Genomic DNA, 14,785 nt, shown 5'->3' on the forward strand with positions numbered 1-14,785 from the left:
TATTTTGAGATACGTTCCATCAATACCTAGTTTATTGAGAGTTTTTAGCATGAAGTGGTGTTGAATTTTATCAAAGGCCTTTTCTGCATCTATTGAGATAATCATATGGTTTTTGTCATTGGTTCTGTTTATGTGATGAATTACATTTATTGATTTGCATATGTTGAACTAGCCTTTTATACCAGGGATGAAGCTGACTTGACTGTGGTGGATAAGCTTTTCGATGCGTTGCTGGATTTTGTTTTCCAATATTTTATTGAGGATTTTTGCATCGATGTTCATCAGGGATATTGGTCTGAAATTTTCTTTTTTTGTTGTGTCTCTGCCAGGTTTTGGTATCAGAATGATGCTGGCCTCATAAAATGAGTTAGGGAGAGTCCCTCTTTTTTTCTGTTGTTTGGAATAGTGTCAGAAGGAACGGTACTAGCTCCTCTTTGTACCTCTGGTAGAATTTTGCTATGAGTCTGTCTGGTCCTGGGCTTTTTTTGGTTGGTGGGCTATTAATGACTGCCTCAATTTCAGAACTTGTTATTGGTCTATTCAGGGATTCAACTTCTTCCTGGTTTAGTCTTGGGAGGGTGTATGTTTCCAGGAATTTATCCATTTTTTTCTAGATTTTCTATTTTATTTGCATAGAAGTGTTTATAGTATTCTCTGATGGTAGTTTGAATTTCTGTGGGATTAGTGGTGATACTCCCTTCATCATTTTTATTGCATCTATTTGATTCTTCTCTCTTTTCTTCTTTATTAGTTTTGCTAGTGGTCTATCAATTTTGTTGATCTTTTCAAAAATCCACTTCCTTGATTCATTGAAGTTTTGAAGGATTTTTCATGTATCTATCTCCTTCAGTTCTGCTCTGATCTTAGTTATTTCTTGCCGTCTGCTAGCTTTTGAATTTGTTTGCTCTTGCTTCTCTAGTTCTTTTAATTGTGATGTTAGGGTGTTGATTTTAGATCTTTCCCACTTTCTCCTGTAGACATTTAGTGCATAAATTTTTCCTTTAAACACTGCTTTAGCTGTGTCCCAGAGATTCTGGTACATTGTGTCTTTGTTCTCATTGGTTACAAAGAACATATTTTTTTTTGCCTTAATTTCACTGTTTACCCAGTAGTCATTCAGGAACAGGTCGTTTAGTTTCCTTGTAGTTGTGTGGTTTTGCACGAGTTTCTTAATCCTGAGTTCTCTTTTGATTGCCTGTGGTCTGAGAGACTGTTTGTTATGAAATCTGTTCTCTTGCATTTGCTGAGGAATATTTTACTTCCAGTTATGTGGTTAATTTTAGAATAAGGGCAACATGGTGCTGAAAAGAATGTATATTCTGTTGATTTGGGATGGAGAGTTCTGTAGATGTCTATTAGGTCTGCTTGGTCTAGAGCTGAGTTCGAGTCCTGAATATCCTTGTTTATTTTCTGTCTCATTGATCTGTCTAATATTGACCGTGGGGTGTTAAAGTCTCCCAGTATTATTGTGTTAGAGTCTAAGTCTTTTTGTAGGTCTCTAAGAACTTGCTTTATGAATCTGGGTGCTCCTGTATCGGGTGCATATATATTTAGGATAGTTAGCTCTTGTTGTTGCATTGATCCCTTTATCATTATGTAATGCCCTTCTTTGTCTTTTTTGTTCTTTGTTGGTTTAAAGTCTGTTTTATCAGAGACTACAATTGCAATCTCTGCTTTTTTTGCTTTCCATTTGCTTGGTAAATATTCTTCCATCCTTTTATTTTGAGCCTATGTGTGTCTTTGCACATGCAATGGGTCTCCTGAATACACTACACCGATGATTCTTGACTCTTTATTCAATTTGCCAGTCTGTGTCTTTTAATTGAGGGTGCTTAGCCAGTTTACATTTAAGGTTAATATTGTTTTGTGTCAATTTGATTCTGTCATTATGATGCTAGCTGTTTTTTTTTTTTTTTTTTTTTTTTTTGCTCCTTATTTGATGCAGTTTCTTCATAGTGCTGATGGACTTTACAATTTGGTATGTTTTTGCAGTGGCTGGTACCAGTTTTTGCTTTGCATATATATTGCTTCCTTCACATGCTCTTGTAAGGCAGGCCTGGTGGTGACAATATCTCTCAGCATTTGCTTGTCTGTAAAGGCTTTTACTTCTACTTTGCTTATGAAGCTTAGTTTGGTTGGATATAAAATTCTGGGTTGAAAATTCTTTTCTTTAAGAATGTTGAATATTGGCCCCCACTCTCTTCTGGCTTGTAGGGTTTCTGCTGAGAGATCTGCTGTTTTTCTGATGGGCCTCCTTTTGTGGGTAACCCGACCTTTCTCTCTGGCTGCCCTTTACATTTTTTCCTTCATTTCAACCTTAGTGAATCTGACAATTATGTGTCTTGGGGTTGCTCTTCTCGAGGAGTATCTTTGTGGTGTTCTCTGTATTTCCTGAATTTGGATGTTGGCCTGTCTTGCTATTTTGGGGAAGTTCTCCTGGATAATACCCTCAAGAATGTTTTCCAACTTGGTTCCCTTTGCCCTGTCACTTTCAGGTACACCAGTCAAATGTAGATTTGGTCTTTTCACATAGTCCCAGATTTTTTGGAGACTTTGTTCATTCCTTTTCATTCTTTTTTCTCTAATCTTGTCTTCATGCTTTATTTCATTAAGTTGATCTTCAATCTCTGATTGAATTTCTTTCTTCGGCTGGATCGATTCAGCTATTGATATTTGTGTATGCTTCACAAAGTTCTCCTGCTGTGTTTTTCATCTCCATCAGGTCATTTATGTTCTTCTCAAAACTGGTTATACTAGTTAGCAATAACTCTAACCTTCTTTTGAGATTCTTAGCTTCCTTGCATTGGGTTAGAACATGCTCCTTTAGCTCGGAGGAGTTTGTTGTTACCCACCTTCTAAAGCCTTCTTCTGTCAATTTGTCACACTCATTCTCTGTCCAGTTTTTTTCCCTTGCTGGCAGGGAGTTGTGATCCTTTAGAGGAGAAGAAGCATTCGGGTTTCTGGAATTTTCAGCCTTTTTGCACTGGTTTTTCCACATCTTTGTGGGTTTACCTACCTTTGGTCTTTGATGTTGGTGTCCTTTGGATGGGGTTTCTGTGTGGATGTCCTTTTTGTTGATGTTGATGCTATTCCTTTCTGTTTGTTAGTTTTCCTTCTAACAGTCAGGCCCCTCTGTTGCAGGTCTGCTGGAGTTTGCTGGAGGTTCACTCCAGATCCTGTTTGCCTGGGTATCACCAGCAGAGTCTGCAAAACAGCAAAGATTGTTGCTTGTTCCTTCCTCTGGAAGCTTCATCCCAGAGGGACACCAAATACCAGCCAGAGCTGTCCTGTATGAGGTGTCTGTCAACCCCTGCTGGGAGGTGTCTCCTAGTCAGGAGCTATGGGGGTCAGGGACCCACTTGAGGAGGCAGTCTGACCCTTAGCAGAGCTCAAGGGCTCTGTTGGGAGATCTGCTGCTCTCTTCAGAGCTGGCAGGCAGGAAGGTTTCTGTCTGCTGAAACTGCACTCACAGCTGCTCCTTCTCCCAGGTGCTCTGTCCCAGGGAGATGGGAGTTTTATCTATAACCCTTGACTGGGGCTGCTGACTTTCTTTCAGAGATGCCCTGCCCAGAGAGGAGGAATCTAGAGAGGCAGCCTGGCTACAGTGGCTTTGCCGAGCTGTAGTGGGCTCCACCCAGTTCGAACTTACCAGTGGCTTTGTTTACACTGTGAGGGGAAAACCACCTACTCAAACCTCAGTAATGGTGGACAACCCTCCCCCCACCAAGCTCGAGTGTCCCAGATCGACTACAGACTGCTGTGCTGGCAGCGAGAATTTCAAGCCAGTGGATCTTAGCTTGCTGGACTCCGTGGAGGTGGAATCCCCTGAGCTAGTCCACTTGGCTCGCTGACTTCAGCTCTCTTTCCACGGGAGTGAACAGTTCTGTCTCACTGGTGTTCCTGGAACCACTGGGGTATGAAAAAAAACAAAAAAACAAAAAAACTGCCGCTAGCTAGCTGTCTGCCCAAACAGCTACCCAGTTTTGTGCTTGAAACCCAGGGCCCTGGTGGTGGAGGCACCTGAGGGAATCTCCTGGTCTGTGGGTTGTGAAGACTGTGGGAAAAGCATAGTATCTGGGTGGGAATGCACTGTCCCTCATGGCATGGTCCCTCAGGGCTTCCCTTGCCTAGGGGAGGGAGCTCCCCAACCCCTTACCCTTCCCAGGTGAGGCAATGCCCCACCCTGCTTTGGCTCACCCTCTGTGGGCTGCACTCACTGTCTAACAAGTCCCAGTGAGATGAGCCAGGTACCTCAGTTGGAAATGCAGAAATCATCCACCTTCTGTGCTGATCTCACTGGGAGCTGTAGACTGTAGCTGTTCCTATTCAGCCATCTTGCCAGCCACCTAATTAATATAATTTCAACATCACTTTCCATCCCTATGTCAGTGGGTATTAAGGACTTCTAACAATACTTCGGTGATTAGTAAGAGCTCACCAATAATCTGGTTGATGAAGAAATAATGATACCAAAAACAAAAATGTTACTGAGAGCAACAAATGATGCCCAGAGAAGTAAGAAGCAAGAAGAGTGGCATTTAACATACCAAAATGCTGGACATTTGGTTTTTGTGGTTCACTCCCACTACTTATCCTAATAGTGGCCCAACTTTATTTTGGTTTGTTTTGTCTCCAGTCTCATCTAATTGCTTCATCCTAAAGTTTCAGAGAGCAATAGGTGCCATGCACTAACTCAGGTGGTCAGGACATTGGAGTTTCTTTGCTAAAATATCAGGTTAAGGATGGGCATATGCTCCAATTCTGGACAATCAGGAGCAAAAAAATTCCATCTAATGATGCTTATTTTAACATCTGATGAAACAAATTCTCTCTTCCTCTTGACTAGATTTTATAAGCTGAAAGTATCGAGACTACTGTGTTTAGCCTAAAAATAGAACCAAGTCACAAGAAGCAGCTCTATGAGATGCATCCAGATAATAGTTTGAACTTTGAATCAAGCTGTACCTGAAACCATTATACCACCAGATTTCTTAGCTTATGTGGGACAATAGATTTATTGCTTGCTAGTGCCAGTTTGAATTGGATTATCTGTTATTTACAACCCAAAAATTCCTAAATAATAAGAACATATCTCATTTCAGAAAGGATTTGAGATGATTTAAAATAGGTACTATTAAGGCAAGAATAAACATATTACATAGATATGTTAACAAATTAGGGCAAAGGTAAAGTAATGATGTACTAATAAGGTGAATTTTGGAGGACTCATGACATAGAAATATATTCCATGAGGCCCAATTTATTTACTAAATTTTAGACCAAAAATTAAACAGCAAATTTCACACTAGCTAATTCAATAGACAATATAAATATGTAAAAGTCATGTTGTTCACAGGTATAAAACATGCGAGGAATGTGATTTCTAATAGGGAAGTGTTGGCCATATTAATGAAACCCTAAGTAGTTATTGGATATCTGAGTAGAACGGAAGAAGTACTATGAAATAATGTGGCTGTACCACACCTTAAATATCAGATTTATAGCCTAAGTGAAAAGCATAGGTTTATTTATCTTGCCTCAGCCCACCCAGATGTCTGGTTTATGTGAATCATTACTCTGGATGAAGATTGTCCAGACCTTCCCTAGTACAATTCCCACTCTCCAACCTCTTCAGGGCCTCAGGAGTTCGAGATGACAAAGGACAAGACATGAGGACTTACTGTGACTTATTTCCAAACATCCCAGCCCATTTACCCATATTTCCTCTCCCTTCCGTAAAACAGACACAAGAGTGTGGTTCTGCAGCCCTTGAACTGAATAACTTCAACTTCTGTTATTTTGCTCCAAAGAGCATTTCAAAATCACCTGACATTTCCATACCACCCACCTTATTTTTCTCTTCTCTTCTCAATAGTTCCTTCTTTTAAAATTATGCCTGGCATTCCTTCACATCTTTGTTTGTTCTTCTTTTTCGTGGTCTGAATTTCAGAGACCTATCTCACTTCCTTGCTCTACAGGCATCTCTCCAAGAAGAACTAAAAGGATGAAAGCCAAATATCCCTCTTTTGCTCAGTTTTTCTCCTTCCACATCCTCTATATTCGTCCTCCTGCACAGTCAGGATAAGTCTCAGCCTGAAATGGGAATAGTTGAAAAGGAGAGGAGAGGAGGAAATAAGTAATCCATTCTAAGTGTCAGATCTCTGAAGTTCAATTTTGTCTCTGGGCTGTGGACCAGATGGCTCATAGCCAGGCCCCCAGTGTGTTTTTAGGTTGAGGGCAGGTTGTGAAAAATAACAGAGAGAAATGCCTAATGCCAGCATACAAATGGATATTGGTATAAGTTCATTTTTCAAAATAGGAAGTAACTGACACATGATAATCGATTATAAAAATAATCAAAATCATTGTAGAAATGTATTTATTCATTTATTTGTTAGATACTTTTGCTATAAACAGAAGGTTAAACATTTTATTAAGTATGTATTTACTGAATAACTACTCTATGACTTAGACTATTCTGATAGTTCTGGGGTTGTAAAGATAAATGAGATACAGTTCTTGTCCTCATGGAGTTTTAATATATTTATGGAGTAAGAAACAATTAGAAAACAATAGTGTTTTGTATATTAAACTAACAATTTATATCCATAAACTAGAAATTGTCCATTATTCCTTTGCCTTTGTATTTTCAATTTAGCCTTTCAATCTGATTCTTTCCTAAATTTTAAGAAACTTTTATTATAGTGTAACATACACAAAAGTACACAAATCAAAGTCTGTACCTGGATTCACAAAGTGACACACACCAATCCACAATGAAATTTAGAAGTAGAACATTACCCACTTTCTTGCCTGAGAAACCATTATTCTGAACTTCTATGGTCATATGTTTGTTTTTCCAGTTTTTGAAATTTATCAGGGTGGAATTACAGAGTATATAAGATTTTTGTTTAGTTTTCTTTCACTTAAATAATGTTTGTGAGATTTACCCATATTAGTAAATATAATAGTAAAATTTCACTGTTGCACAAAAATAAATTATATGAGTGTACTTCAATTTATTTGTTCTACCATTGATGGATATTTAGGTTATTTCCAGGTTTGGGCTATAGTGGAAAGCAGTGCTGGGAACATACTTGTACGCTTTAAGTAACATATCACTCAATTTATTTGGTATCCACTAACAGTGAAACCACTGAGTCACAGCATATTGCTGTAGATTAAATTTTTAGCCACAATTCTTTATTCCTTTCTATGTCATTTGCTATATGACTTTGCAGTTTCTCTTATGAGAGGCAGAATGTAACTTCCTAACCCTAAACTTTGGGCTTTTATGGGATTTATATTAACCAATGAAATGTGGGCAGAAGTCATAGCCAGTTTCAAACCTTGGCCAAAAGAAACATTGCAAGTTTTCTGCCATCACCATGAAAAGAGTTTTTTCCCAAGTAGCTTCTGTTCTTTTAACCTGAGCTCTAGGATGAATATATCTGATGCAAATCTAACCCCAATCTACCAAAAGGAGTCAAACCCAAGTGACATGAAGCTTGAAGGAGAGCCGCTATTCTAAGCCCAGCTTAGATCTCTAAATTGACTTGCAGACACAAAAGCAAATAAAAAAAATTTAAAAATGTGGTTAAAAACCAAATAACGTAAAATTCACCAACTCAACCATTTTAAGTGTAAAGTTCAGTAGTGTCAAGTATATTCCTATTACTGTAAAATAGATCTCCAGAACTTGTTCATCTTGCAAATCAGAAACTCTGCACCTATTAAACAACTTCTCTTTTCCTAAGTGAAATAGAACAGCCACAAAAAGGCAAGCAAGGACTTTAACTTGTGTTTGGAAGTGGTGTGTTACACAGCAAAAGGTAAATAAAAGTATATACATGTTCTAGTATACTATTCTCTGCCAAATAGTTTTTCAAAGTGGCTGTATAAATTTACACTCATGCCAGCATTGTATGGAAATTCCAGTTGCTTCTCATCTGTAACATTTGCTATTGCAACTCATTTTTATTTGAGAAATTCTGATGAGTATGTGTAATTAGACTTTCCTTTTCATGATATTAGTGACATTGAGCACATTTTCATGTTTACCAGCCACCTGAATTTCCTCTTTCTTGAAAGTCTTGTTTGATATTTTGTGCACTATAGGGATATTCATTTTTATTATTGATCCAAAATATTTTATATGATATCAATACTTTATTGATTACATGTACTTCAAATATTTTGTGTGACTTTGTAAATTTCATTTTCACTCAGTTGAAGATGTCTTTTGATGAACATGTTTACCTATTGTTTAGCTGTCACTTATAAGTAAGAACATGTGGTATTTGACTTAGACTTTTGTTCTCTTTGACTTTTTAAACAAAAGATTACTTCTGTACTCTTTGACTTCTTGTATTTTCATATTTCGTATTCCTAGGCATAGTAATTCTTTCTGCTGACATACAGAAATAGAATTTATTTTTGTATTACCAGCTTTGTATAAGGCAATCATGTAAATACATTTCATTTTTAATTCTTATATTTATCTGCCTATTCTCATGTAATTTTGTTTTTGTATCTCTGTACTGTTTATGTATTTATTAAGGTACAATTGACAGAAATTATATATATATATATTTCATATCCAATGTGAAGTTTTGATATACAAATACATTTTTCAATAATTGGTACAATCAAACTAATCAATATACCTGTCACCTCACATAGTTACCTTTTTTTCATGTGTGTGTGGTGAGAATACTTACTGTCAACAACTTTTCAAGTATAAAATACATTATTGACCGTAGTCAACATTCTGTACATTAAAATATCTAAAGCTTATGTATCTTATAACTGAAAGTTCGTAACTTTTGACCAAAATGTTCTCATTTCCCCCACCTCCTTGCCTCTAGCAACCACCCTTCTACTCTGCTCTTATAAGTTTGAATATTTTAGATTCCACATATAAGTTAGATCATGCAGTATTTATCTTTCTTTGCTTGATTTATTGTACTTAGCAAAATGTCCTCTAGGTTCATCCACGTTGTTGTAAATGGCAGAATTTCCTTCTTTTTAAAGGCTGAATGGTATTCTATTGTATAAAAGTATATACCACATCTACTTTAGCCCTTTGTCTATTGAAGGACATTTCATTGTTTCATATCTTAACTATTGTAAATAATGTTGCAATGAACATGGGAATTCCGATCTCTCTTTGAGATAGTGATTTTATTTTCATTGGATATATACTCAGAAGTGGTACTGCTACATCATATGGTGGTTTTATTTTTAATTTTTTGAGGACATTCTATACTGTTTTCTTTAATGGCTATACCAATTTACTTTGCCACTAACAATATACAGGGGTTCCCTTTTTTTTGCATTCTTTCCAACACTTGTTATCTTTTGATTTTTTGACAATAGCCATTCTAACAGGCGTGAGGTAACATATCATTGTGGTCATCTGCATTTCCCTGATTAGTCATGTTGAACACCATTTCATATACCTTTTGGCCATTTGTTTGTCTTCTTTGGAAAAATATGTCTACTCAGATCCTTTAGCCATTTTAAAATGACATTGTTTATTTGTATTTCTGTAGAGCGATATGAGTTCCTTATGTATTTTGGATATTAACCCTGTATCAGATTTATGGATTACAAATATGTTTTCTCCTTCTGTAGTTTGCCTTTTCATCTTGTTGAGTATTTCTTTTTCTGTGTCCTTAACAAATTAAGGATAGAAGAAATGTACCTTAGTACAATATAGGTCATATATGGCAAGCTCACAGCTAACATTATACTGCATAATAAAACCTTTTCTTCTAAATCTGGAACAAGACAAGGATGTCCACTCTCGTCAGTTCTACTCAACCTAGTGCTGAAAGTCTTAGCCAGAGCAATTACGGAAGGAAAAGCAATAAAAGTCATCCAAATCAGAAATAAAGAAGTAAAATTATTTCTGTTTGAAAATTACATAGTATTATATCTAGAAAATAAAAACTTCACCAGAAAACTATTAATATCAAAAAATGAATTCAGTAAAGTTGCAAGGTACAAAATCGACATATGTAAGTCATTCTACCAAAAAGACACATGAACTTGCATGTTCATTGCCATGCTATTCACAATAGCAAAGACATGGACTAAACCTAAATGTCTATCAGTGTTGAACTGGATAAAGAAAATGTGGTACATATACACCATAGAATGCTATGCAGCCACAAATAGAAGGAAATAATATCCTTTGCATGATAGATGTCCTTTGCAACAACATAGATGCAGCTAGAAGTCATAATCCTAAGCAAATTAATTTAGGAACAGAAAACCAAATACTGCATGTTCTCTCTTATAAGTGGGAGCTAAAATATTGAACACACATGGACATAACATGGAACAATATTCACTGAGAGCTACATATCCAAACATGGGATCAATATTCACTGTAAACTACTAGAGGAGGAAGTGAAAAGGGGGGTCATGAGTTTAAAAACTTCCTATTGATTACTATGCTCACTAGCTGGGTGATGGGATCTGTACTCCAAAGCTCAGCATCACACAGTATACTCATGTAACAAACCTGCACATGTACTACATTTATCTAAAATTAAGAAAAAAGAAATGTTAAAAATCAGTTGCATTTCTGTATATTAACAGCAAACTATCTGAGAAAAAAATTAAAAATGCCATAAGAAGAATGCAATATTTAAAAATAAATTTAAGGAGATTAAAAATCTATAAACTGAAATGTATAAAACATTGATGGAAAAAATTGAGGAAGAAAAAACAAATGGAAAGACATCCTATGCTTATGGACTGGAAGAATTAATATTGTCAAAATGTCCATATTACCCAAAGTGATCTACAGATTCAATGAAACTGTTATCAAAATTCCAATGGCATTTTTCACAGAAATAGAAAAAGAATTCTAAAATTTATATGGAACCAGAAAAAGATTCTAAATAGCTAAAGAAATCTTGAGCAAAAAGAACAAAGCTGGAAGAATCACTCTTCCTGATTTCCATTTATATTATAAAGCTATAGTAGTCAAAACTGTGTGGTACTCTCATAAAAGCAGACACATTCATCACTGAAACACAATAGAAAGCCCAGAAATAAATCCAGACATCTGTGGTTAATTGATCTTTGTCAAGGGTGTGAAGAATACACAATGGGGAAAGGGCAGTCTCTTCAAAAAATGGTGCTAGGAATATGAGATCTCCACATGCAAAATAATGAAAACTGACTTTTATACTATACACAAAAAATCAACTCAAAATTGATTAAAGGCTTAAATGTCAGACTTAATTAAGGGCATAAACTGTAAAACTTCTAGAAGAAAAGATAGGGAAAAGTTCCATGACATTGGCTATGGCAGTGGTATTTTGGATACGATACCAAAAGTAAAGACAATGAAAGCAAAAATAAGAAACTGGGACTACATGGAACTAAATGGTTTCTGAACAGCAAAGAAAACAATCAGCGGTGGGGTGTGGTGGCTCACACCAGTAATCCCAGCACTTTGGGAGGCCAAGGTGGGTGGATCACCTGAGGTCAGGAGTTTGAGACCATCCAGGCCAACATGGTGAAACCTGGTCTCTACTAAAAATACAAAAATAAGCTTGGTGTGGTGTCAGGCACCTGTAATCCCAGTTACTTGGGAGGCTGAGGCAGGAGAATCACTTGAACCTGGGAGGGGGAAGTTGCTGTGAACTGAGATTGCGCCATTGCACTCCAGTCTGGGCATCAAGAGTGAAACTCTGTCTTCAAACAAAAAAAAAAAAAAAAAAAAGAAGAAGAAGAAAACAATCAGAATATTATTAGGTAATTTCTATGTTACAAACAAACTACTACTCTTTTGTGTGTTTTCCTTATATTAAGAAATAACTCTAATAAAATATTGAATAGAAGCAGAGATAATGGGCACTATTGTCTCATTGCTGATATTAATGAAAAAATTTCCTCTATTTCATCAGTAAGTTTATTTATTATAGATTTTCAAAGATACTCTCAAATTAAGACAGTTTCTACTATTTTCAGTTTTATGTTTTCTCAGTTATATTTGCATGTTTAAATTAGAGATATTTTTCTGCATGTATTGATACAATAATATTCTATATAGAATTTATAATCTGTACCTATCCACTGTATGGCCTATCATCCATCTATCTGTTGATGCATCTAGCAATCATCAAAAAGTCAATCTATTTTTCTTTTTTTTGTTTTATATATATGGTAACTTTAACATGTAAAATATATTAAGCCAAGCCACAGTTGGATAAAACCTACTTTTTCACATCAATGAATTCAATCTGACCTGTTTTGTTTTGTTTTGTTTTTGAGACAGCGTCTCTATCACCCAGGCTGGAATGCAGTGGTGCCTTCTCAGCTCACTGCCGCCTCGACCTCCTGGAACCACGTGATCCTTCCTCCTCATTGCCACCCAGTAGCTGGGATTACATGCATGTGCCACCACATTCTTTCTACAGACAGGGTTTCTCCATGTTGCCCAACCTGGTCTCAAACTCCTGGGCTCAAGTGATCCACCCACCTCCGCCTTCCGACATGCTGAGATTTCAGGCGTGAGCCATGGCACCTGGCCCAATCTGACCTCTTTAACTTAACCTACAAAAGCTCTTCCCAATAGGTTTACATTTTCTGCCTTAACTTTATTAACTTCTGTCACTCCAGAGGTCTATTTTCAGGCACATGAGACACTTAAATTTACTCATCTAGGCGATGAGTTCTTTCTTTGCATCTGTGTACACAATGCAAAGTGCCTGAAACACTCTTTAACTTCTTAGTTTTTACTTGTTTTTCAAGTTTAAATTTAAGTGTCACTTACTCTGAGAAGTCTTTCTCGATTCTCCACAATTCAGTTAGGTCCTTATACTATATTCAGCCTCTGAATCACAGTTAATTATTTATTACACCGCAATGTAATTGTCTCTATTTGTCTGCAATATTTTTCCTTTCTTTGTCTTATTTACTCTCACCGTGTCTAGTGAGTGATACATGCCAAGTAGGTAATTGTTAGATAAATAAATGAAGAAGAACATAGACTATATTAGAACATAGAATAAGTATTTTCTGTCTTCCTTTTTTAGAGATGGATCGTAATGTGTTGCCCAGGCTGGCCTTGAACTTCTGGGCTCAAGCAACCTTTCCTGTTTGAGCCTCTGGAGTAACTGGGAGAACAGGCACAGGACACCCTACCTGCTTTAGAATAAGTCTTCAATCACTATTAAATTAAATCAGTATTAAAAGAACCATTAAAGATGCAGAAAAAAGTCCATTCAGTTTTGTGATAATTTTTATCTACAGATAAATTAGAGAACCTTGGATTACCCAACATTTATTTTCATTTATTAATTTAAAAATGATTTTGAAAGCCTAGTATACGCCAGGTGTAGCTATCATTAATATCACCATCACCATCATGGTCATCCTCAAATGCAAATTCAGTACCAGTTGTGTTATTCTCTGAAAAAAATGGCAAGCCATCTAAGCATTCAGGGTTTAAAACAAATTTATGAACACTCTCACATCTGTAGCAAACAAAGAAGTATATATATCATATGCAAATCAGAGGGAAGTACATTTTACAGATGTGTGTTTGTCTGGGTGTGTGTTGAGTAGGTGGACTTGAGGAAAAGTGGTGTTCTGGGAATTCTGAGGTGACAGGGAATGAAGATGAAAGTTGCCTCTCACTCTCTTCAGCTTAACCTTTCCTATAGTAGAAACAATCACAGAAACCCCAAACTACTCTCATCAATGGGTGGTGTCAACAAACAAAGCTCAAATCCTTGAATTAAAAAAAATCTAAAATAAATGATCGTGTCCTAATTTAGCTGTCTTAATCAAAGAAATGTCCTAAGGAGGTTTTAATAATCATATTCCGATAAACTAAGAATACATTAGCAACTCAGTTTTATCCTTGGGACACTCATTGCCAAACTATTGGGTGTGGCACGTAAAAAATGCTAAAGGTAGCATTTTTTTCCAGGTAGTAAAAAAAAATCATGTTAGCATTTAGTAAATTCAACTAAGGCTTCTATCACTCTTTTATTTATTTGTTTTCTTTTTCTCCCTTCTTTCAATCCTAGCTTTTTTTCTTCTTCCTTCTCCTTATATTCTGCATTCTAATGTCTTTCTTTATCTCTCAACATTACATATAGCATACAAATAATAATTAAAATATATCAAATACATACGTTTCAAACTGTGTGTTAATTAAGGAATTTCCCCATTTAATTCTTACAGCAACCCTATTTTGATCACTTTCAATGTATGGTGTTTAAGTTATTGTTTCATACTTACAAGTATGTGAAGAAACCTCCTTCTAAATCCACATAATCTATTTCCCAAGCAAGAGTTATTAAACTGCATGTTGCTCAAGTGAAAAGCTAAGAAATGAAATTTTTTTGATATTAACATAATTCCATTGTTTTATTGAAACACAGCTTTAGCAAAAGCCACAGTAAACTCATTCAAATGTATATGATGCACCTATATTGGGTGACTAAAATTTGACCCTTTCTTTCAGTGAGGCATGAGGAAAAGAAGGGACTGTGCTTTACTCTTCATTGTACTCACTACAGTGCTTGTTTCAATGCCTTGCATATGGTAGCAGGTGCATAAACAGTGCAGGGCTCTTGAATGGTCAACTTACTTTTACACTTTATCTGACATAGAGTCTAACCCTAGATTATAGAATAAAGAAAGGAAAATGAAAGAGAAGTAAAAACAGAAGCAATTTTTCAATACCTTCTCTCAGGCAAGCATGGAATTGTTTTACATCTATTAATTTAACTAGATTTTGCAGTGGCCCACT

This window comes from Homo sapiens, chromosome 1 (assembly GCF_000001405.40).
Source record: "Homo sapiens chromosome 1, GRCh38.p14 Primary Assembly".
Lineage (NCBI taxonomy): Eukaryota > Metazoa > Chordata > Mammalia > Primates > Hominidae > Homo > Homo sapiens.